At 33.4% G+C, this 24,381-nt stretch overlaps 1 protein-coding gene and 1 non-coding gene across 4 annotated transcripts in view; one reads left to right on the top strand and one right to left on the bottom strand.

Annotated features, from left to right (window-relative positions):
• CIP2A (cellular inhibitor of PP2A) overlaps positions 1–24,381 on the top strand; it is a 39,575-nt gene that overhangs the window by 1,304 nt on the left and 13,890 nt on the right. The window contains exons 2-12 of one of the 3 annotated variants that reach the window (XM_006713716.4): positions 2,923–3,070; positions 5,055–5,158; positions 5,933–6,027; positions 6,624–6,720; positions 8,447–8,569; positions 8,709–8,854; positions 11,789–11,864; positions 18,528–18,746; positions 19,821–19,980; positions 21,497–21,638; positions 22,681–22,780. In XM_006713716.4, coding sequence (XP_006713779.1) covers positions 2,923–3,070; positions 5,055–5,158; positions 5,933–6,027; positions 6,624–6,720; positions 8,447–8,569; positions 8,709–8,854; positions 11,789–11,864; positions 18,528–18,746; positions 19,821–19,980; positions 21,497–21,638; positions 22,681–22,780 — 1,410 coding nt within the window. Of the gene's footprint in view, positions 1–2,922; positions 3,071–5,051; positions 5,159–5,932; positions 6,028–6,623; positions 6,721–8,446; positions 8,570–8,708; positions 8,855–11,788; positions 11,865–18,527; positions 18,747–19,820; positions 19,981–21,496; positions 21,639–22,680; positions 22,781–24,381 lie in introns of those variants that run through there. The other 2 variants (NM_020890.3, XM_011513057.3) reach the window with 2 other exon arrangements.
• Positions 13,437–13,570, bottom strand: LOC124900556 (small nucleolar RNA SNORA70). The gene has a single exon (XR_007096303.1). It is a non-coding gene; the product is annotated as a small nucleolar RNA SNORA70 (small nucleolar RNA).

Raw genomic sequence — 24,381 nt, 5'->3', positions numbered from 1 at the left:
CTATTCTGAAGCATTACCTTTCTTTGAATAAACAGGAAGGTTGTGCACTGAAAGAGATTTAAGGCACAGGGGCTTACACCTGTAATCCCAGCACTTTGGGAGGCCGAGGCGAGCGGATCACCTGAGGTCGGGAGTTTGAGACCAGCCTGACCAACATGCGAAACCCCGTCTCTACTAAAAATACAAAAATTACCTGGGCGTGGCGTCTCTCTGTTGTCCCAGCTACTCGGGAGGCTGAGGCTGGAGAATCGCTTGAACTCGGGAGGCTGAGGTTGCATAAGTAGAGATCGCTCCACTGCACTCCAACATGGGTGACAGAGTGAGACTCCGTCTCAAAAACAAAACAAAAAAAAAGAGAGACTTAAACAAAATATGGGATGGGGTCTTTACTGTATTCCTAAACTTTCAAGGGGTTTACATAAAACTCTTCTACCGTTGTTGCAAAGGTATGAAGAGCACTGGCTTCAGGTTACTACTAAAAAGGACTTTTTGTAATTAAGAGATAAAATACATACAGAGCATAAAGTGCATTAATCTTAAGTGAAGAGTTTGATAGTTTTTAATATATAGGTACCATAGCTACCATATTGGTAGCTAACATATAGGTAGAGTAGCTACCACCTGTATCATGATACAGAACATTTCTAGCCCCATAGGGTTTCTTCATTGCCTCTTCACATAAGGTTTGGGTAAGTAGACTCATACAATATGTACTCTTGTGTCTGGCCTTTTCCACTCAATAAAATCTGTGAAATTCATGTTGCACATGTACCGCTACTTCATTTTTTTTATTATTGATGTGTAGAATTCTATTGTATAAGTGTACCACAGTTTACATACACTTTCCTGTTGATAGGCATTTGGGTTGTTTACATTTCTGGGTGGAATTAAGAATAAAGCTGTTGTAGACATACATTTTTTGTGGATATATGCACACATTTATATACTTAGGAGTAGAATTGTTAGAGCATTGGAACATATGCCTATATGTTCCGTTTTAGTTGAAACTGCCAAACAATTTTCTGAAATATGCCATTTTATCTTCCCACTAGCAATATGTGAAATTTACCATCACTTATCCACACCAACCCTTGATGTTTTCATATTTCTTAATTTTAACCATTTTGGTTGACAGTATTTGTATTTTTAATGGTGAATGTCTTTGTACAGACTTCATGAGAGCGAGATCTGAGTATGCAAAGAGAGATGGGTATCATGTGAAAGGAGATTATTCATTCTTCTGTACTTCTCCCACACTTTTATAGCCCCATGCAGAGTGTAGGCTTTGAATGTTTGATGACTGGCAAAGCTGAGCTAATCTGATTTTTAATGATGATGTTTCATAACACTAATTTTGTGTAGTGATTAAAAGCATGAATTCAGGAACCAAGCTGCCTAGATATGAATTCCAGTTGTGCTTCTTTACTATCAGTGTGTACCTCAGTTTACTCATCTGCAAAACAAAATAGTGGTACCTACCTTATAGAGTTATTATGAAGATGAAAAGAGTTCACATATGTAAAGTGCCTAGATCGATGCCTAGGCCAGAGTAAGTGCTGTATAAGTATTAGTTATTATTAAAATAAATTATCTTTGTTTTAAGAGATTCAGTATAAGTAAAGGGAAAACTTGTAAAGCAATTTTTATTTTACCTAGTGCATATAATTATTACATGTTAGACAATTTATGTTAATGAGATACAGGACCAATCCTATAGAGAATCATTTTTAAAACAGCAAGTGTCTTATTCTGGAGAGCTAGATTTATAAATAAGCAACAGGGTAATGCCCACAGTATTTCCTACCCCAGAATATCTGTTACTGGCATCTGCACTTTCATATTTGGACTTATTTTTTCTTGTATAGACTTTTACTTTAGTAATGTTAAAACACTCCTTGGGAACAGATAATGTGAAACTCTTATCAGCAAAGCCTTAGAAGAAAAACTGATGTGGGTGAGAGAATAAAGGGAGGATACAGAAAGGAAAGATTAGAGGGATGCTAAAGCAGCCTGCTTAGGCTTGATCTTATTAAAATAAGTATTCAGGACAGAGTTAGTCTTATTCTAAGGTAACTAATGGTTTTGCCATCTTTGTAGAAAAGATATGCTTTGTAATAAATACATCCATAAAGTATGTTGAAAATTCATGCTTTGAGACAACTGCTTTTGGCCTTTAGTTCCAGCTTTACCTCCTCTCTTCTCTCTTTCACTCTGTGTGTGTGTGTGTGTATGTATGTGTCTGTGCATGCGTGTATGTGGCTTATAGATTACAAGAAAGTAAAAAAAACAATGGAATAATCAGAAATAAAATTTTTCAATGCCTTGCCTGGCTACTTAAAAAAAGATTCACTTTTCACTTCCTTCTTTAATCCCTTAACTTCTGAGCTCACCTATTGTCTTTGGGAAGAAGCAGAAGGAATAATCCCATAACTACCCTCTGGGCTTCATTTTTCATTCTCCTCCCTCAAAGTAAGTAGAATGTATTAGAATTTATTTGCATAGTAAATATATTGGTACTAGAGTGCAGATTTGTAGGCTATGCCTTCATCGCATGTTCAATGTAGTGTGAAGGAGAAATATTGCTAGGAACTCAAAAGTTTGCTAACTTAGGAAATAGAAATATAATGTACTATAGGATAGCATAATAGGCCGACCGAACTGAGATGGTATAAGAAACTAAGAAAAGCTTCCTGGTGGAAATTATTTTAAACTGAGATCCAAATGATTACTTTAGCTAGGGAGGGAGGGATTAGGTAATTGATGGGTACTCTAGGCAGGGGTGAATTTTTCACAGCATGTGTGAATTTTTTAAATTGGGAAGGTAGCAGTGGCACTTTGAGGGAACTGAGTTTTTTATTTGAAATGGAGAAGAGATGAAAATTGCCATCGCTTAACCAACACATTTTGATTACTATTTTATAGGTAATTTCTGGACAGAAACTCACACGACTATTTACATCAAATCAGATATTAACAAGTGAATGCTTGAGTTGCCTTGTAGAGCTACTTGAAGACCCCAACATAAGTGCTTCACTGATCTTAAGTATTATCGGTTTGCTGTCTCAACTAGGTAATGCATTTAATTTCTCCTTTTTAGTTTTTGGAAGATGTATGAACAATATTTTAAAGTGCAGGCTTAGTTATAGAATCTCTTAAAGAATGATTCACCTTCAAAGACTTCTCAGTCTAGTGTGCATTGTGAATCTTTTGACACTGAGGAAGTCATAGCTACCGATCAAAGAATGATCCTTCTGTAATAGATTACACTGAATTTAGAACTAAAGGGTAAAAGTACTGATGTTGCTTTTTCTATCTTTTCCCCCATTTCTTTAGTTCTTAAATGTTCATTTAGTGGTCACTACTCCAATTTGGGGCAGGGCGGTGGGGATATTTCTTTGTGTGATTATAATAGTAATATATGCATAGTTTAAAAAATTCTAGTGATCCAGAAGTATTAACACAGAGCAGCATTGTCCAATAAAACTTTCTTCAGTGACAGAATGGTTTTAAAACTGTGTTATCCAATGTAGCAGCCACTAGCCACATGGAGCTATTAAGCATTCGAAGTGTGGGTAATAGACTAAGGAACTGAATCTTTAATTTTAATTAATCTAAATTGAAATAGCCACATGAAGGCTAGTGGCTACCAAATTAGACAGCCCAGACATAGAGTAAAATGGGGTGAGCCTGTACCCATTACCACCAGCCCTCATCTTTTCAGCTTTGAGGGTATAATCTCATTTAATGGTTTGGTATGTTTCTTTGCAGATATTTTTCTGTGCTGTAACAAAACAATACTTTTGGATCTTTAATTGGTTGTTTTCAGCACAAATGGTGTTGTGGAGCACCAGATGTTTCTTTCCATATCAGTATCTTTAATAGCTGCCTAGTGCCTTAATTACAGGGTACTGTAATTTATTCAACTATTCCCCTAATAGTGGACAGTCAACTGTCTTTAAGTTTTTGCTATTGGAATCAATAGTGCAGTGAACATTCTATGTAATTTTGCTCAAATATTAGTGTGTTTCTATTAGATAAATTCCATTAGAATTTCTAGATCATTCTAAAATTTGATAACCGTTACTAAATTGCTTTCTGAAAAGATTCTTCCACTTCTAACATCCACCAACAGTTTGAATGAATATGCCAGTCACTTCCAGTGTTTATACTTTAGAAGCATTTGAGGTTTCCAGAAAAATTGAAATGATAATCTTTTTAAATTAATTTTTTCACAGATACATAATATTTATACAAACTTATGGGGTACATATGATATTTTGTTACCTGCATAAAGTATGTGATGATCAATTGAGGGTATTTAGGATATCCATCACAAATGAGGATTTATCATTTCTATGTATTTAGAACATTTCAAGTCATATTTTGAAATATACAATACATTGTTAACTATAGTCACCTTACTCTACTATCAAACATTAGAACTTATTCCATCTGATTGTGTGTTTATATCCATTAATCAATCTGTCTTCATCTCCCCCACTAACGGCTCCCCCTCACACCTCCCATCACCACACACTCACCCATATTCTTCCCAGCCTCTGGTAACTGTCATTCTCCACTTCCATGAGATCAACTTTTTTAGCTCCTACACATGAATGAATACATGCAATATTTTTCTTTCTGTGTCTGGCTTATTTCACTTAACCTAATGGCCTTCAGTTCCATCCGTGTTGCTGCAAATGGCATGCATTCTTTTATATGGCCAAATAGTATTCCATTGTGTAAATATACCATAAAGTGATAATCTTTTAATATTCAAAGTAAATGATTTTAATTTGATACTAAAATAATTAGTATCAAAGAAAAAGCTTGCTACAAATGTGTAAACAAGTTTTTTCTTTGATACTAGTTTATTTTACATAGAGAAATCATTTGAATTTCTGAATTGGAGGGTTATCATAAAGAAAATAAGAAAATAGCCATATCATACCTTTTTTAATAATAAATTCATATGAAATAAATTCTGTATGAATTATCTGCAAAACCTTGTAAGAAAATGATATATTTTGTGCTTTTATTTTAACTTATAGCAGTAGACATTGAAACCAGAGATTGTCTTCAGAATACATATAATCTGAATAGTGTGCTGGCGGGAGTGGTTTGTCGGAGCAGCCACACTGATTCGGTGTTTTTGCAGGTATACAGACCCACACAGTGTATTCCCCTTTCCTTACTGTCAGATCAAAATTGATAGTTTCTGTCATAAACTGCTGACTTACAGTGTATATATGCTATATAATAAATACTACATGATTAGGCACAGTTCATCTCATTAAAAGCTGGTTGCACACATACAATTTAAATGTTTCTAGAGAAGAGAAGCTTATCCATTTCTATCACCACTATTGAAGAAAAACAAATCTACATTATAACTGCTTTGACTTATAAACACAGATGTCTGTGTTTTGAGACATAAGCTATTTATATTAAAATTGTAACGTGAGTTGGCATCTAGTCTCAATCTGTGGAGGAAACGTTCTACAAAAATTAAAGCTGTAGATAGAGTCTATTTAATATAGATTCAAAGCTCTTCATATTTCATTGACTCTAAAATGTCATCAATTGTAAGAAAGAAAAACATCACAAATTAAATTGACATGCAGTTTTAGAGGTGATAAAATGTGAAGAAGGGTATCTTCTAATTGATGGACTACATGTGTGTTTCAAACTGCATTCAAGTTTAAGATGACTAAGTGAACAAGGTTGATAACCATGCTCTGAGACAGAATACGTAGAAATGTGTGAATTGAGAGAAGAGCCCTAAGGTTCTTACATTACTTTACATGTGTTTTTTAAAAAAATTGTTTTAGGAAATGGAAAAGGACATGCTCAGAATGTGCCTGAGAGTCCATTATTTTAAGCAGGCAATGTTTTTATATCTTTATATTTATAACTATTTTCTTATTCTCAGTGCATTCAACTTCTACAGAAGTTAACATATAATGTCAAAATTTTCTATTCTGGTGCCAATATAGATGAATTAATTACGTTCCTGATAGATCACATGTGAGTATGCAATCAAACATAAAACCAAATAGTTTATTTGTTTATTTTTAAATTACAACCATGTGGTAGATTAATTTTTCTTAGATAACATTTTCTAACATATAAACTGAGTGAGACTCCGATTCTTATTTGTTCTGCCCAGATGATTTTAAGGATCAAAAGTTGTAAAAGTATGTGACCTCATTCATTGGTGAAAAAATGTAAAAAGGAAAAAAAAATTGTAAAGCAACTTTAATTTTCATAAGAAAAATTTATGGACTGAATTGATTTGGCCAGAAAAAAATTACTGAAATTGAAAATTGTGTAGTTATTCTTGTAGGAAAATATACTGATGAAACAGCACATGGTCCACGCTGACAGTTACTTCCATGTTTTCATGATGGAATTGAATAGGGTAATTTGGTTTTAAAATGAGATAAATGATCAATACTATTCAAAGCTTCCCTGGCTTCTTATGTTAATTAGTTTTTTTTTTTGCGTGTAAAAGGGAATTGAAATGTATAAACTTAACTATATCATTTTGACTTAGAATAATGTTAATGCTTTTTTTCTTTTACTATTTTTTCTTTAAACAAAACACCAATGTAAAACAACAGTCAATCTTCTGAAGATGAGTTAAAAATGCCTTGTCTAGGATTATTGGCAAATCTTTGTCGGCACAATCTTTCTGTTCAAACGCACATAAAGACATTGGTAAGAAGTTTATTTCTTTTTAATGTTTCTTGTTTTATGGTAGATTCTCTGCTTAAAGAAAATTGTATTTATCTTTTTCTTTAAAACAAATTTGAACAAGGATTCTGTGTCTTATCGGATGACCCATCAAAATTAAGAGTCAGATTGACATACAAATAACTTGAAGCACTTCAGCCTTCGTGTATGTTGTATTGAAGACTGTGTGTTAAGGGTTAATGCAAACACTTATTTCTAAAAGTTTTCCTCAGCATGGCATCCCATTATTTATTACATTGAGTAGTACAAGAATTACTAAATTATTTTGTGCTCTTAGAAGGGAGGCACATCACTGGCAGTCCCATTTATCTCAGTCTTGTGTTTCCACAAAATCAATGGCAACCCCACCAGAAAGATTCATGAGTTAAGTGCTCAGTATGAACCAACAGTACTTGTGATAAATGAAGACACACAAATGAATTTAACTGAATCACTTTTAGAAGTATATTAAATCAGCTGGGCATGGTGGCTCACACCTGTAATCCCAGCACTTTGGAGGCCAAGGCAGGCAGATCACAAGGTCAGGAGATGGAGACCATCTCGGCCAACATGGTGAACCCTGTCTCTACCAAAATACAAAAAATTAGCCAGGCGTGGTGGCACACGCCTGTAGTCCCAGCTACTTGGGAAGCTGAGGCAGGGGAATTGCTTGAACCCGGGAGGTGGAGGTTGGAGTGAGCTGAGATCGCGCCACTGCCCTCCAGCCTGGCAACAGAGTAAGACTCCATCCTTAAAAAAAAAAACAAAGTATATTAAATCAAGCAAGTCACTGATTCTTTAAGGTGCTTGGTGAACAATTTCCCTGCTGTGCTATTCAGCATTACCCGTTCGATTTTAAATTTAATATCTCACTTGTTCAAGTGCTACATTTTTCTGCCCTGGTCTTACTTTGGAGGTGGAGTAACTGTGTGTGTGTGTGTGTGTGTGTGTGTGTGTGTGTGTTTCAATTTCTGAATTGAAAAAAAAGTTCATATGTTCATATTTAGGAAACACTTAAATATAAGGAAGAATAAACATTTGCTCATAGTTTCATGTGTAGAAACTGCTCTTCACCAAGATTGTGGCTATCTATATGACTGTCAGCAATATACGAAACTACCCATCTTGCTCACACATGCAGTGATCTCTTAAATCTAAATGCTAATCAGCAAATATGGCAAAGTTAATTGCTGCTCCACGGTGTGTAACGTAAAACAAATTCTTAAATTTGCTGAATTTTTTTTGCTTCCACCACAATTATGAGAGTTCCTCATTACAGTTCTTTTGTTAACACAAATGCTAACAAATGCTACAGTTCTTTTGTTAACACAAATCCTGCAGTATTTAAGGTAGCTCTTTTGTTTCCACTCTGCATGTGTCCCTTTATTAGAATTGACACCCTGATTTACCATCATTGAATTATTTATTCTAAGGTGACAAAACTTTGGAAATATTTATCTCCAACTCGTTTGCACGCATTTACCAAATTATTTTTTTCTGTAGGTACTCTCTTTATAACAATTTTTGAATTTAAATTTATCTCTGATCTAAATTTCTCCTGTAGAACATTTATCTTTTAAATGCAACAATCATTTAATAGAGTTGATAATGATGTTTAATAAAAGTTTGCCCACTCTGTGCAAGATATACTTTTTAAACCAAAACATAAAATTTATAATTCTAATTTATTTTTTAACTTTTTTTTCCTCAGAGTAATGTGAAATCTTTTTATCGAACTCTTATCACCTTGTTGGCCCATAGTAGTTTAACTGTGGTTGTGTTTGCACTTTCAATATTATCCAGTTTGACATTAAATGAAGAGGTGGGGGAAAAGGTAAATACAATTTTTCAAATTTATTCTGAAGTTTATAGTCTGATATTTTAAAAGTCATTGAGACTTTTTTATTTTTACCTTTTAGGATGGTGTCAACTTAATTTTTTGTCTAATATGCTTTTTCTAATTTGTCCTTAAGCTATTCCATGCTCGAAACATTCATCAGACTTTTCAACTAATATTTAATATTCTCATAAACGGTGATGGCACTCTAACTAGAAAGTATTCAGTTGACCTACTGATGGATCTCCTTAAGAATCCTAAAATTGCTGATTATCTCACCAGGTATGACTCACTTCAGTCAATTTTAGAACTTTTTTATTTTTAAACCAAGATGTGTTGGTTATAAACAGAATTGTCTTCTTAAAATATAATAAACTTGGATTCTACTGATTCACAGTAGACTAAAATGTTTTGATGTGCTTTACTCACACTCTTTTTTCTTTCCTGAACTGAAATGGAAAGTATAACAGGTCATTGTCTATGTGTGTATTTCAGTCTTTGCTTTAGATCAATAGGGTTGTGCCATTCTCCAAAATATAGACATCTTGGCTAATTTATTTTAAAACCAGTTTTAAAACGTAAGTAGCATTACGATTATTTGAAAGAGTATTTTTATTATAGGAACAATAAAAATAAATATTTCTACATAAATTATAAATAAATGAAACAGTGTTGAAACATTGATGTCATTATGTTTGTGTCTTTATTTTTTGTATAAAAATGGATAATGTTTCCTTTGGTGTGTGCCTCTTTTCATAGGTAAAATAGGAACATATGTCCTTTCTATCTCAGTGTATTTCATATGATCATTTATGTTTTGAGATCAGGTAGTAATTGTTTTCCAACAAGCTTGTGGCCTTTGTGCATTCTAACTTAAATTTTGCTGGGGCCTATGCTGCTTTGTCATCCTAAATTAGGAAATAATTGAAATTGTTTCAAAGAGTTTCACACACAAGAAAACATTTACTGAACCCCACCTATGATCAGGCACTTAGCAGCAATAGGATTTGAAGACACAGTCCCTGATGTTTAAGAAACATAGAATCTATAAGTTTTATTTTAATGAAAGCTAAGCACTAGGGCAAACTTGACCATTGTTCATATGGCTCAGCTGATACTTTGCAAAACCAAGAAGTATTCACTTTAGCATTTCACTTTTTCTTCTCTTAAGAATCTCTAGATAGGTGAGCTTTTTCTTCCAGAGTGCCTTCCCATGACCTGCCTTCTCTTCATCTGTTGTGAGATTCTCCCAATATCCATGTATATCTATTCTACCCACCAGATAGTGCTTATTCAGCATCTTCATAGTAAACAGAAAAATTCCTTTGAATAAACCTCGTCTGGAAGACTAAAAGATAATCCAGTTTAGCATTAATAAGAGGTAGCTTAATCATTTATTCTGTAAATCTCTCAGTTCTATTATCTATTTTATACTCTATCGTAGAATCCCAGAATCACCTCTGGCAATTCCTCTTGTTTTTCTGGTATGCCATTGAACAATAACCCAATCCTGAATCTCTTCCAAAGTCTAACTTAACTGCATGGTTACTAATTACAGCTTTAGAAAATCACACAACTTTACCTGGGCCAGACCTCTTATATTTACTTGTCAGCTTTCTCATTTCCTACAGTGGATCTTTCATATTTATTTATTTATTTATTTAGAGACAGAGTCTCGCTCTATTGCCCAGGCTGGAGTGCAGTGGTGTGATCCTGGCTCACTGCAACCTCCGCCTCCTGGGTTCAAGTGATTCTCATGCCTCAGCCTCCCAAGTAGCTGGGATTACAGGCACACGTCACCACGCCCAGCTAATTTTTGTATTTTTAGTAGAAAACGGGTTTCACCGTGTTGGCCAGGCTGGTCTTGAACTCCTGACCTCAAGCGATCCACCCGCTTCAGCCTCCCAAAGTGCTGGGATTACAGGCATGAGCTGCTGGCCTGGCCGGTCTTTGAAATTTTTTGTTTTTCTCTTGCTACCTTTTATGCAGAAGATGACCTTATCTTTGTTTCACAGAAAATAAATATCTAAATGGAGCCCCATTTGATTGGAGCTCCCTGAAATCCTTGCCCCTGGACAAACGTACCTATGTTTATACCAAATTCTTACTTAGTTTCATCCAGTTTCACTCATAAATATGTACCATTACTCTATGTATTGCCTCATTTTGTCTTTTCTGAAGCAGTTGCTCCTCTCTCTTCGGGGCCTCCTATTCAGTTGACCCTTCCCCTTTAACTTACAAATATGCTCAAAACTTTTTCTTCAACCAGATATCCCTTTTAAAATCTTTGACCTACCATTGCATTCAAGGTGAATATCCAGATTCTCAGTATAGCCCTTCAAAATCTGATCCCTAACAACCTCTCAACCTTATTTCTTCACACATTTTGTTTTTTTGTCTAATATCAGACAATAAATAGAACTTCCAGCTCACTAGAAATGCCCTTTTATGTATCCATGTGCTATTTCCTCTAGAGTGTTCCCTCTGGAAGACTAGAATACTTTCTCTCTTATATGCCTAACTTCTATTTTTGTTTTTAAGACTCGAGTCTGGGTTTAATACTGAGACAATATTCTTTGTTCCATAGTGTCTCCTACATTCCTCCATTATAGCATTGTATTTTATATTACCTTGTATTATCTCTTTCTGTCATCTTCAGACTGTGAACTCCCTGTCAGGGCACCATCTCCCAAATCTAGGATACATCAGTCACATAGAATATAATGCTAGGGGTCCCACAGTACCTCTTGGAGTTGTGTAACGCGGGTTGCTGCCCCTTACTTCTTTATTTGCAGAGACAAATTTAATGCCTGGTAATTTTAGGTGCTTTATAAGTAAGCAGCTGTATAATGTATTAGGATATTCTTCTGTCCTTTGAATTTTTACAAAGTGAACACAATCTTAAAAAAATAGAGCAATTGAGACACTGAAAATTTTAATAGTGATGTGTATTCGTGGATAAAGAAATTTAATGATTTATTTATTGCCACATGAATCACTATGTTTTAATAAATGACACAGCCAATTTATGTATATCATAATTGTAAGACATATGTTTTAAGTATAAACTTTACAGGAGTGTGTTCTATATTAGAAGCCCAAATAAATAGATGAAAGAAAATACACATAAATTTTATATTTATCTTGTAGATAAATCCCTTTTGATGTATCAATTTTATATTTATCATTTGATGTATATTTTTATTCTAAACCTAGATATGAGCACTTTTCTTCATGTCTTCACCAAGTATTAGGTCTTCTTAATGGAAAGGATCCTGATTCCTCTTCAAAGGTATGTAAAAACATGACTTTTCATTTAAACTTTTAAAAACTGCAAAATGCCGAAACTTTTAAAAAACTGCAAAATACAGAAAAATCCAAATGCACAGATTTCTGTATTTTTATAATAGGGACACAATTATGTAGCCAGTGTCTAGATCAGGATGTAGAATGTTACCAGTATTCTAGAACTCTTCTTGTGCTCCCTTTTAGTCAGTACCTACCCCTTCCTATTCCTTACCTTTACCAAGGATGACTGCTTGGTAAACTGCTATAACCACTATACTGACTTCTAACAGCATACATATATATGTACACATATATATACACATATATGTATATATACGTATATGTATGTATATATACGTATATGTATATATGTATATATACTCATACACATGTATATGAGTATATATACGTGTATATACACATGTATATGAGTATATATACACGTATATACACATGTATATGAGTATATATACACGTATATATACACATGTATATGAGTATATATACACGTATATATACACATGTATATGAGTATATATACACGTATATATACACATGTATATGAGTATATATACACGTATATATACTCATGTATATGAGTATATATACACGTATATATACACATGTATATGAGTATATATACACGTATATATACACATGTATATGAGTATATATACACGTATATATACACATGTATATGAGTATATATACACGTATATATACACATGTATATGAGTATATATACGTGTATATATGTATGTGTATATATACATATATACATATGTGTGCATATATGTGTATATATACTCACATGTATACATGTATATGTATATATGTATGTGTATGTATACATGTATATGTATACATACACATGTGAACATATATACACGCATACATGTATATGTGTATGTATATATACACATGTGTGTATATGTATATATACACGTGTGTGTACATGCACGTGTGTGTACGTACACGTGTGTGTACGTACACGTGTGTGTGTATATACACATGTACATATATATTTTGGAACTTTGTATAAATAAAAGCATATAATACGTTTTCTATCTAGACTTTCTTTGGTTCAACATAATGTGATGAGATTCACTCATATTTCATATAGTTGTAGATTGTTAGATTGATTCTTTTTTTGGACAAGGGAGTATGATTTATTGGTGAGCATGAATAAGGGGACATTACAGTGAACACCCTCACGAATGTAGTGCTCACCACTTGTCCGGGGGCCACATTTGTGGATGTTTTTGACCTCACAACCATCTGGGATGAGCCACTTCTCAGCCGCCATGTCTTCACATTTATCCACATTAAATTTGGTAAAGCCCCACTTTGAGATGTGGGTCTTTGGGCAGCCAGGGACCTTGAACTTGGCGCTGCATGGGGCCTTAGTTGCATGCTCCTTATTTTGCAGATTTGTGTGGATGGACATGATGACTTGGCCACTGTGAACCCTGGTCACGGTGCCCTGGGGGCTTTCCAAAGACACCTTGCATAATAGCTCTCAGAAGCCTAGATGGGGGACAGCAGGAGGTCAGAGACATGAATGTACATTGGAAAGGGCTGTCTCTCAGGTTTCTTAGGCCAACCCATACAAGCAACAGGCCATGTATACTACCAAGGAGGCAGCTGTTTGCAGCCATTGCACACTGGGCCCCAGGAGGAAAGGAGCACAATTGGTGTTCTTTTGTTTATGAACATCAGCTATTATAAAGAAACCTGCATTTACCATTTTCTGCATGTCTTTTGGTGAGCTTATGGACAGCTTGTTTTAGCTTTATATCTAGGAGTGGAATCACTGTGTCATAGGATATACGTAAGTTCAGTAGTCACTATGAAACAGTTTTCAAAAAAAGTCAGTTGGACCAGTTTATGAATATTTGGTCAGTCTGCATTCTTGCCAGCAGTTGATATTTTTCACTTTTTCATTTTAGCAATTCTAATGTCTATACAGTAGTATTGCATTATAATTTAAATTAATATTTTATTAATTAATAAAAATATCATTTTACATATTCATTGGCCATTTGTATGTTCTTTGACGTGTCTGTTTATGTCTCTTGCTCATTTGTTTAATGCGTTGTCTTTCTCTTATAAGTAGGAGGAGTTATTCTGGAGTCTTTTGATGGGTATATAACATGCAAATATTTTCTTCCATTCTGTGAGTTGCCTTTTTACTCACCTAATGGTGCCTTGATTTTAACATAGATCAATTTAGTGTTTATTGTGTTCCATTTGGGAACTCTTGGCCTATTACAAAGTCACAAAGATGGACTCCATTGTTTTTTTCTAAAAGCTTCCTAGTTTTTTTTAACTTTCACATATAGATCTGTAATCTTCCTACAAGTGACTTTTGTGTCTGTTGTGAAGTACGACTTTTCCAGGTCAGCCTTTACCTTACAAGTTTTTACAGAAGAAAAAAATTAGAATGACTTTGAACTAATCATTTGCAACAATGATCTAAAAGATGGTAGAAAGGTTGAAACAGTACAAAGTTTGTTACTTAACAATATTTTCTTTTTTATTTCGAACCCTAGAATTTCTAAATTCCTTTCTCATGTGCAATATGAGAACTATTTCTAATTAGTATCTAAATGGATCTTAAGAAAGTGACTAGGAATCTGTAATATAAGTGCTAAATAAGGATTCTTGGAATAGAAACACACAGCAAGGGAAAAATCTAGTATTCGAATCTAAAGGTATTAAACTGTCTCAGGGAATTTAGGAGGTCAGGTAGCACAGGGGAGTAGAAGCATTCTATGGGTATCAAAACCTGAAAGAGAATGGAAAAGTAAAAAAATAAAAATAAATAAAAATTTAAAACTTAATTTTTTAAAGTAAAAAATAATTCGCGTTATGATAGAAGTGGGGAGAAGTGAAAGCAAAATACATCTTGGTGGGGAAGATATAGTTGAGTGTCTTTTTTTAAATATGTAATAGCGTATAGTGTCTTTGATTATAAGGCCAGTATAACCTTGATAGCAAAACCTGACAAGGATACTACAACAAATGAAAATTATAGCTCAATATCTTTCATGAACATACTGCAAAAATTCTAAAAACAGTAGCAAATCAAAATCAGTGACACATAAAAAGGATCATGTCTTATTACCAAATGAGGTTTATTCCAGGAATGCAAAGATGGTTTAACATTTAGAAATTAATATAATTTCCCACATTAACAAAAAAGCAGAAAAATTACATTATCTCATTAAAGGTGGAATAGCATTTGATAAAATTTAATACCTATTCAAGATAAAGATTAGCACACTAGGAATAAACAGTAACTTCCTTTCCCTGATAGAGTAATTACCAAAAATCTACTGCATTATCTTTTTAAATGGCAAATTATTGAAAGCTTTCCTCAAGATTAGGAATAAGAAAAGAATGTTCATTATCACCAGTGATGTTCAGCTTAGTATTGGTGGTCCCAACCAACCTAATAAGGCAAGATAAATTAAAAAGATATAGAGATTGGAAAGGAAGAAATAAAACTCACTATTCAGATGACGTGAGAGTATAGAAAATCTAAAATCTATTATTAAAATTAAGTGAATCTATTTAACAAGTTGGCTGGATACAAGATCAGTAAATATATATTTTATTTATATTCTCGTGACAAATAGAACATGAAGTTTTTAAATGATGCTATTAACTGATTTTTTTAAATGTCAGGTGCTTAGGGGATTAGTCTAAAGACAGTGCAGTATTTTGTCATAATGATAGACAGCCCAGTGGAACATAATGGAGCAGAAACAAACCCACAGCATATGGTCTTCAGATTGACAACAGTAGAGTCTTAAAAGTATGGTCATTTCAATAAATGACGCTGGGTCAATTGAATATACATATGGGGAAAAACTGAAATTTGACCCCCTTCCTCATACCAAATGCAAAAATCAGTATAAGACAGGTTGTAGATTTAAATGTGAAGAGTAAAAATAAGGAACGTTTTAGAAAAAACACCTAAAGAGTATCTTCATGGCCTTGGGGTAGACAATGATTTTCTTAAACAGGAAACAAAAGCACTAACTATACAGTAAGAAAGTCGATAAGTTGGGCTACATTAAAATTAAGTTTCTATTTATGAAAAGACCACTAATAAAAGAATGAAAAGTCAAAGAATGGGAATAGATATTTACAATGCATATATCTAACAAAGGACTCTTATCCAAAATATATTATTTTTCTACATTGTATGTATATATCCGAAAAAACACAGAGCCGAACAGATACTTGAGCAAAAAAGTTGAATTGGTCAATAAACATGAAGTGATTTACCACTTTATCAATCTTAAGGGAAATGCAGATTTAAATGGTAGTATCATACCATCTGACACCCACCAGTTGATTAAAATGAAAAATAAGGAAAATAGCAAACATACTTTAACTCTCATTTAGTACTTACAGAACAACCAATTATGAAAACTGGTATCTATTAATACTGGGCATATGTATAAACTACGACCCAGAAATCTCACTTATAGGTATTTATCCCAAAGAATTGTTTACATGTGTACAAAATGTAGTACTGCTCCTAATAGCTAACAATGATAACCCAAATGCCATTAACAGTGGAATATGTTCATTTTGGGAAAGTCATCTAGCTCTGCACTAGTAATTAGTTTTTTTACTTTTATATGTGTACATTAAAAGAAAACTAATGTACATGGAAAGCTATCTGCTTCTATGTTTATAACGGACATATGGTAAGATACACAAACAATTGGTAACATTGCTTGCCTACAGGGTTTGTCTTTTGAACCATGTGAATGTATTACCTATTCAAAAATAAATATAGTCATGCATTACATAATGACATTTTAGTCAATGACAGACACAGACTTCTTATTGCCTATGACATTATGGCCATTCTAACATGGTGGTGCAATGCATCACATGTGTTTGTGGTGATGCTGGTGTAAACAAACCTACTGAGCTGCCAGCTGTATAAAACTATAACACATATTAAGATTGTATACAGTACATAGTATTTTGATAAACGTGTTACCACTTATTCTTTGTTATTTTAGAGTGTACTTCTACTTATAAAAAAGTTAACTGTAAAACAGCCAGGCAGGTCTTTCAGGAGGTATTCCAGAAGAAGGTATTGTTGTTATTAGAGATGACAGCTCCCTGTGTGTTACTGCCCCTGAAGACCTTCCAGTGGGACAACATGTGGAGGTGGAAGTGGTGTTGATTACCCTGGCCCTGTGTAGACCTGGGCTAATGTCTGTGTTTGTGTCTTTGTTTTTAACAAAAAAAGTTTAAAAAGAAAAAGCCTACATTTTAAAAATAGAAAAAACTGATAGACTACAGATGTAAATAAAGTATTTTTGTATAGCTGTACAGTGTGTTTCTCTTACTACAAAAGAGTCAAAAACTTTAAAAATGGATAGGTTTATAAAGTTAAAAAGTTCTGCTAAGCTAAGGTTAATTTATTAGAGAAATTTTAAAAAATAGTGTAGCTTAAGCATACAGTCTTTATGAAATATACAGCAATATACAGTAATGTCCTAGGCCTTTACATTCACTCACTACTCAGTCATTAACTCACCCAGAGCAACTTCCAGTCCTGCATGTTTTGTTTATGGTAAGTGTCCTATACAGGTGTACCGTTTTTGATCTTTTATACTGTATTTTTCTATGTTTAGATACACAAGTACTTACAATTGTGTTATAGTTGCCTACAGTATTTAGTACAGTAATATTCTGTACAGTTTTGTAGCCCACGGGCAATAAAGGGACGTAGTAGGCTCTACCATCTAGGTTTGTGTAAGTACACTCTTACGATGTTCACACAACGGAATTAATGATGCATTAAGCAACATATGCATCACTAAGTGACACATGACTGTACTACAGTTTATTAAAGATTATCATTTGTTATAGTAAATGCTAATGGACTGGATTCTTTTAAATTCAGATACTATCAAGTTGATTAAAACACAAATCCCAATTATATATCATTTGTAAGAAACAGACTTTTAAAAAGTTGGAAATAGAGAGACAAGGAGATCTTAAGAAATTTTTTTTTTTTTAGTGATAAGTTGGTAGTATGTGAAATGAGGTGGAATTTATCTTAACATCTAATAAACTGGTTGATGGGGGATGTTATGGTATAAGGCCCAGTTTATAAAGTAGAGGAAAAATGGGGTACAGTAGGAGAGCTAAGGGTCATAATGCCAACCGTATGCAAACAGTGTGGAAATAACCATCCTGAAGGTTTTATATTCTATGCTACAGTATCCTTTATAGCGGTTATTGAATTTTAGGATTATAACAAGTATTACTAATTCTAATTTTATTTTTTAGGGTTTTTTTGGTCATTTATAAACAAAACAGGTTTCTGTTTAAAAATAATTTAAGTACTATGGAAGGAGTGGGAGGAGTTTAACGTTGGCTGAAGTTGACCTTCCCTCTGAGGTTCTCACAGTCCTGCTTATCAGGAGTAACCACCATTAATAAGTTTATTTTATAATCTTCTAGAACCTATTCACACATTTGAAAAATAATATTGAAAGAAAAAACTTAAGTTTTGTTTTAGAATATTTTCTTTAAAATATGTAGCATTTTCAGCTTCATCATACACTTGCTTTGTATATTAAAGTTCTGTGAAATTGATGTTTAATGAACACTTTATATTGCACAGGTTTTAGAATTACTTCTTGCCTTCTGTTCAGTGACTCAGCTGCGCCATATGCTCACTCAGATGATGTTTGAACAGTCTCCACCTGGCAGCGCCACTCTGGGAAGCCATACTAAATGTTTAGAACCTACTGTGGCTCTACTGCGCTGGTTAAGCCAACCTTTGGACGGATCAGAAAACTGTTCTGTTTTAGCATTGGAGTTGTTCAAGGAAATATTTGAGGTAATAGGATGACTGACAGATTGACTTTTCTACTTTTGTGACTCTCAGTTAACAATTTGTCTTCAAAAACATTCTTTGTAAACTTACAGTTCATACACTTGAGGAAAACATCTCAATTACTAACAGTCATACTAGACTCGCTAGGTTTTTTTCTGCCAGTCATATATATTAGTGTTTTCCTTTTTTTTCACTGAGTAGTGTGTATGTATATATATATATAGTGCTCATTTCAGTGTAATAAGTAAAGATATTAAAAAGATTTATATAATTTGTTGCCTGACTACTGGGGATAGTTACATTGTCTCTCCATTGCAATAGATGCCATCTACCAAGTTTAGTAGGCCATTGAATGGACAATAGAGGCATATTGGATTCAGTCAGTGAAATGGAGTAGAGCATGCCAGATAATGTGCTAGGCACTTAAGATACAGACAAAACTCCACATTCTGGTAGATCTTACTATCTGGGCAATTTAATATTCTCTACTATTCTCCCTGTTTATAAATCCATTCTGTCTAACCCAATATCTCCTGAAAGTATTTCCCTTCACATAACTGGGTCTTACACACAAACAAATATGTGTATGAAGTGATTAAATATGTTCATTAAGAATTATTCACAAAATTTTCTATTTTATCTTGGTCTTGATTATTTAACAATCAGTTTTAACATTTAAAAAGCCCTTTGAGGGTCTTGAGGGAAATTATTTGTGGTCATAAACTATTAAGACCAATGTCTATTATTTAATTATTGTTATTACTTTTAGCAGATTCAGGATATTTGTTTTCAGTAGATACTTTTAGTTTAGAATAATTTTTAAATCACAAAGTCTGTTTAAAAAAGTCTTATTTGTAAAACCTTACTGTCTAATTTGAGAAAAAAGCCATAGCCCTCAAAACTGGTTAGAAGTATAAATTTTAAATAAAAATTTAAATATTCACAGGAGACTTAGGTCAATGGCATATTGAAGGAAATATAAAAAATTTAAAGAGAGTGTTACAATTCAGTGATGACTTTTTCTGTATTGTATATTCCATCTTTGCTTTTAATCATTTGTGATGGATAATTCTCCAGGATGTCATAGATGCTGCTAACTGTTCCTCGGCTGATCGTTTTGTGACCCTTCTGCTGCCTACAATCCTTGATCAACTTCAGTTCACAGAACAAAATCTAGATGAGGCTTTAACAAGAAAAAAATGTGAAAGGATTGCCAAGGCCATTGAAGTTTTGTTAAATATCCTTTACTGTCATTAACGTGAAAACTGTATAACTAACCATTCTTTTTTTTCTAGTATTGCATTCACTGCATTTTGTCTTTATTTGTAATTTGTCACTTTATGCTCATATTTATCTAGAATTACTGAACTAAAATTTGAACTGTAGAAAAAATTCTCAATGAGTGAAAAAGATCCATGATTTTTTTTCCTTATTTTTCTGTGTGAAACTTTTAAGTTAAAGTACATTTTTTAAAATGCTGTTTAAGCTTGATTTTGACACTTGTATCACAATTTGACATTTGGTGGTAAATTCTAAAATGACTATTCTGTTACTCCATGTTACTGTTTTCTGCTTGATGCTAATTATTTCCCCTGGACGGACGATCAGTAGTGCCATTTTTTGGTGATGTGTATTCGTGGATAAAGAAATGCTGATAGAGTTGTCATGATTTTAGCTCAGTTGTTTTACCTTATGTTTTAAAAATAAAGCCTTCATAATTGCTTTAATAATGGTTATAAGAAAAGACAAGTATATCAACACAAATTCATTCATTTAAAAAGAAACCTTTTAGTTTCACTGCTTAACTTCTATATACTGATTTTCTAGGTCTTCCTTGTGTTTACTTTTTCATAGACCAACTAATTCTGAGTTGCTGGAAGTCCCAATTTTAAAATATTTCATTAATACTTTTTTACTATGAGCAAAGAGCCACTGTATCTCAACCAGATCTCTTAAATGTATCTAGTCAGGTTTCCTTGTATCTCAGAGCAACAAGAATATGTTCTACTCTGTCCTAGAGCAAACTCCACCCCTGTTTAATATCCTCTTCTAAGGTACTGCTCCTTAATTTTCTTCCTTTAAAGCAGTGACTTTCAACCCTGATTTCCTACCTAAAATCACCTGGAGAACATGTAAAAAAAAAAAGAAAATCGATGCCAGAACCTTACTTCAAGAGTTTCTAATTTAATTGGAGTGATGTGAAACCCTGAAATCATTAGGTGGTGTGTGTTTGCATGTTGGCTTTTTTGTTTGTGATTGTTTAAACTACCTGGTTGATTCTAACATGCAGCTAAAGTTGAGAACCACTGCAGTAGGGATACATGATTGCTTGACCTTGGAGATATTTATAATTAATAAAGTGGGGCCTTCTCATTGAATTGGACCACAACTTTTAAAATAATAGCTATTTACATTAATTTATAATATACAAATATGACAAAACAACTTACCCTTATTCAATAAATATTTATTGAACCATTGAGATTCTTGCTAACAAAAAACAGACATCCAATGGAAAGATATCCTCGCTGTTTTAACCATTGAGTCAGAAACCTTTGGTGCCAGTCCATCTCTTACCACTTGCTAGTCATTTAAATTGTGTGAGTTTCAGTTTCCTTGTTTGTCATTGAGCTAATTTAACAATAATTATACTGGATGACAGTGATGATATAATTTGTATGAAATCATCCTGAATGTTATCTTTTACACATAAAGTGAGAATTTTTTTGTTGTATATCTTAACAAAACTTAACCTCTCTGTGGAGATGATACACTAAAAATGCATATTGCAAAAATCTTGACAACTGTCAAGTGTACCACTCTTATAGAACAACAATTTACATATGGCAAGATTGACCTGGGATTTGGAACAAAGGTTGCAGATTCTGAATTATGGTGAGTATATAAACTCTAATGACAAAATGGCAAGGCAGTAAAAAATCGAAAGATGTGGTGATTCTCATCCTTTTGGAGGACCATCCTTTGGTTATAACTTAAGATATAACAGATTAACAAACATATTTTCATAATGAATTTTTTGTAAATTCATTCAATTTGTAGATTGTGTGCTTTTTGAAGAAAGGTATTAACATTTGTTGTTTTTTATTGTTTAGGTTTGTTTTGTCTTGTTTTAACTTACTATAATTATCTAAGGGTTCTGAACATTTCTGGAGCTCCTTTTTGACATTGCCTCAGTAATCAATTTTACTTTTTTAAATGAAAAGCATGAAAAAACAGAAGAGTAGTTTTATTACAAGGAAATCAGTCACTGCTAAAGGCTTTTTAATAACAGACAACTCTCCTTCCTTGGCAGGTCAGGAATTATGGTTAAAGGTGGATTTTCACTGATGGTAATAAGATATTACTTTATACCCCTTCCCTCCTCATGAATTAAGTCCATCTAATCTTTACTGAGGACCTGCTGAGTGGTAGACACTATGATTTGTTTCTGTTTCCACAGATGTCACAATTGTCAGTAATTGTGGACCTTTAGAGTAAGAATTATCTGTTTTTATATTTGTATACTACTTTCAGGTACAAAACTCAGAACATGACCTAGTGTAATTCATTCATTACGTATTAGATATTCTATATTGCCTAAGGTTACCGTCTGTTGTTGATATTCTAGTGACAAAGCTAAGAATTAAATGAACTGTGTTTCGAAACTACTACTTACTTGAAACAGAAAGTTGAAGCAGGTTGGTAGTAAAAGAAACACTGTCTAAACTAAGGCTATTAATGCCAGTTTGTTCTCTTTGGATCTTGAGTTATAAGAATGTTGATTGAGATTTTTACTTCTCAATAGAAACAGGACTTTATCATCTTGAATTTAAAAAACACAAGTGTTGGTTTTTTTCATTTTCTTTAGAATTTTGGACAGAAACAAGCTCTAAGAAATTTTTCAGTTATCTAATTTAAATGTGATTTATCTTTAAAGCAAACTTGCTGCTGATGTAATTTTGAAAACTCTTGATTTGATTAACAAACTTAAACCATTGGTTCCTGGTATGGAAGTAAGCTTCTACAAAATACTTCAGGTGAGTTTAAACTCTTCAAACATTGAAGTTTATTCATACATAAATGGTCCTAATATAAGTTTCTGTTTTAATATTCTTAATCTTTAGAAGATAATTCTCTTAGAATTGGCAATGAGAAGAAAGTTTAAAGTTGTTGTCTTAAGCAGTTATAATAGTCTCACTGCACAGTTATTTTATATACTTTCACAGGAATTGAACATAAGTGCTCATGACACTAATGTAGAGAATGTTCACAATAGTGCTGCTTCCTCAGCCTTTTCCTTTCTTGTGTTGTATTTGTATATTTCTTCATTTGTTTCTGTTGGCATTGGAGGAAGAGTGATATTTGTTTTAGGGTTTTTGTTTTTGGTTAGGGTTGATGTAGGGTATTAAGGGGATAGGGAGACAGCTGGAAGAAAAGGATTGTGATAATTAGAAGGGCTGTGCAGAAAATAGCTAACTCACAAATTTCAATGATAATAGTAGCTGAATATGATCTCTAGCTGTTATCAAAAGGCAAAGTACAACAAATTTAGTTCAAAGTTCTAACTGGCTTTTATTTATGATTCTAGAATTTGGCAGCCTCATTCTATAAAATAGAATGAATCATTCCCCTGGGCTAAGCAGAGAAGGTTGACTTTATAGACCAGAAAAGGGCTGAAGAAAGCACAAATAGGGAACTAAAAGCAGATTGGTCATTTCAAAGTTACTTTTCCTATAGAATTATAATAAAGGGGGCTTCCTTATTATACTAACTCAGGTTGACTGAAATCTCCTGGTTTTTTGGAAAACTGGCCCATTTCAAAGTGCAGTTTGATTACATGGCACTCATCCAAGTGACTCCTTTCTGGTTTGATCTGGTCTGCTAAAGCATAGTGGAGGAGACTACTCCAAAATATTAGCCTCTTAAAAACTTTGTGTAATAATATCTACAACACCTACCTTTACAACAGATGTTTAACAAAAATGAGTGAATTAAATTACTGCAGTAGCTTAACAGAGACATCTCTAGTGACTGTATAGACAGTGTAGAAGCCAAAACTGAAACCTTAGGCAGGGACCACTGGCATGTTTTGAGATTAAGGGACTGAGTTCAAATGTTGACTCTACTGGTTCTTAGTACAGGCTTGAGTAAGTTATTTCACCTCTCTCGACTTCAATTTCCTCGACTACAAACTGGAAATAATGAGGCTTACCATTGAGGGTTTTGGAGATAAAGCTCTGCTCTTATCACAGTTCTGTGACACTGGATTATACTCAAGTACCTACAAGGTACTCAATATTTTAATTATAAGGGATTTATATTTTAATATTTTCTTCACTAATATCTCAATGTATTTTTAAAGGAGTCAAACTGATGTTATGTCCATTATTTAAGATGTTTTTCATAATACAGGTTGAGCATCCCTAATTTGAAAATCTGAAATCTGAAATGCTCCAAAAAACAAAACGTTTTAAGTACCAAAATGAGGCTCAAAGGTGATACTCAAAGGAAGTGCTCACTGAAGCATTTTGGGTTTTTGGATTAGGGATGCCCAACCAGTAAGTACATGTAAATATTCTAAAATCTGAAAAAAATCAGAAATTTGAAACACTTCTGGTCCCAGACATTTTAGATATAT

Source organism: Homo sapiens, chromosome 3, assembly GCF_000001405.40.
Source record: "Homo sapiens chromosome 3, GRCh38.p14 Primary Assembly".
Classification (NCBI taxonomy): domain Eukaryota; kingdom Metazoa; phylum Chordata; class Mammalia; order Primates; family Hominidae; genus Homo; species Homo sapiens.
The sequence above is the reverse complement of the archived record's forward strand: the minus strand, read 5'-3'. Positions and strand labels throughout refer to the sequence as shown.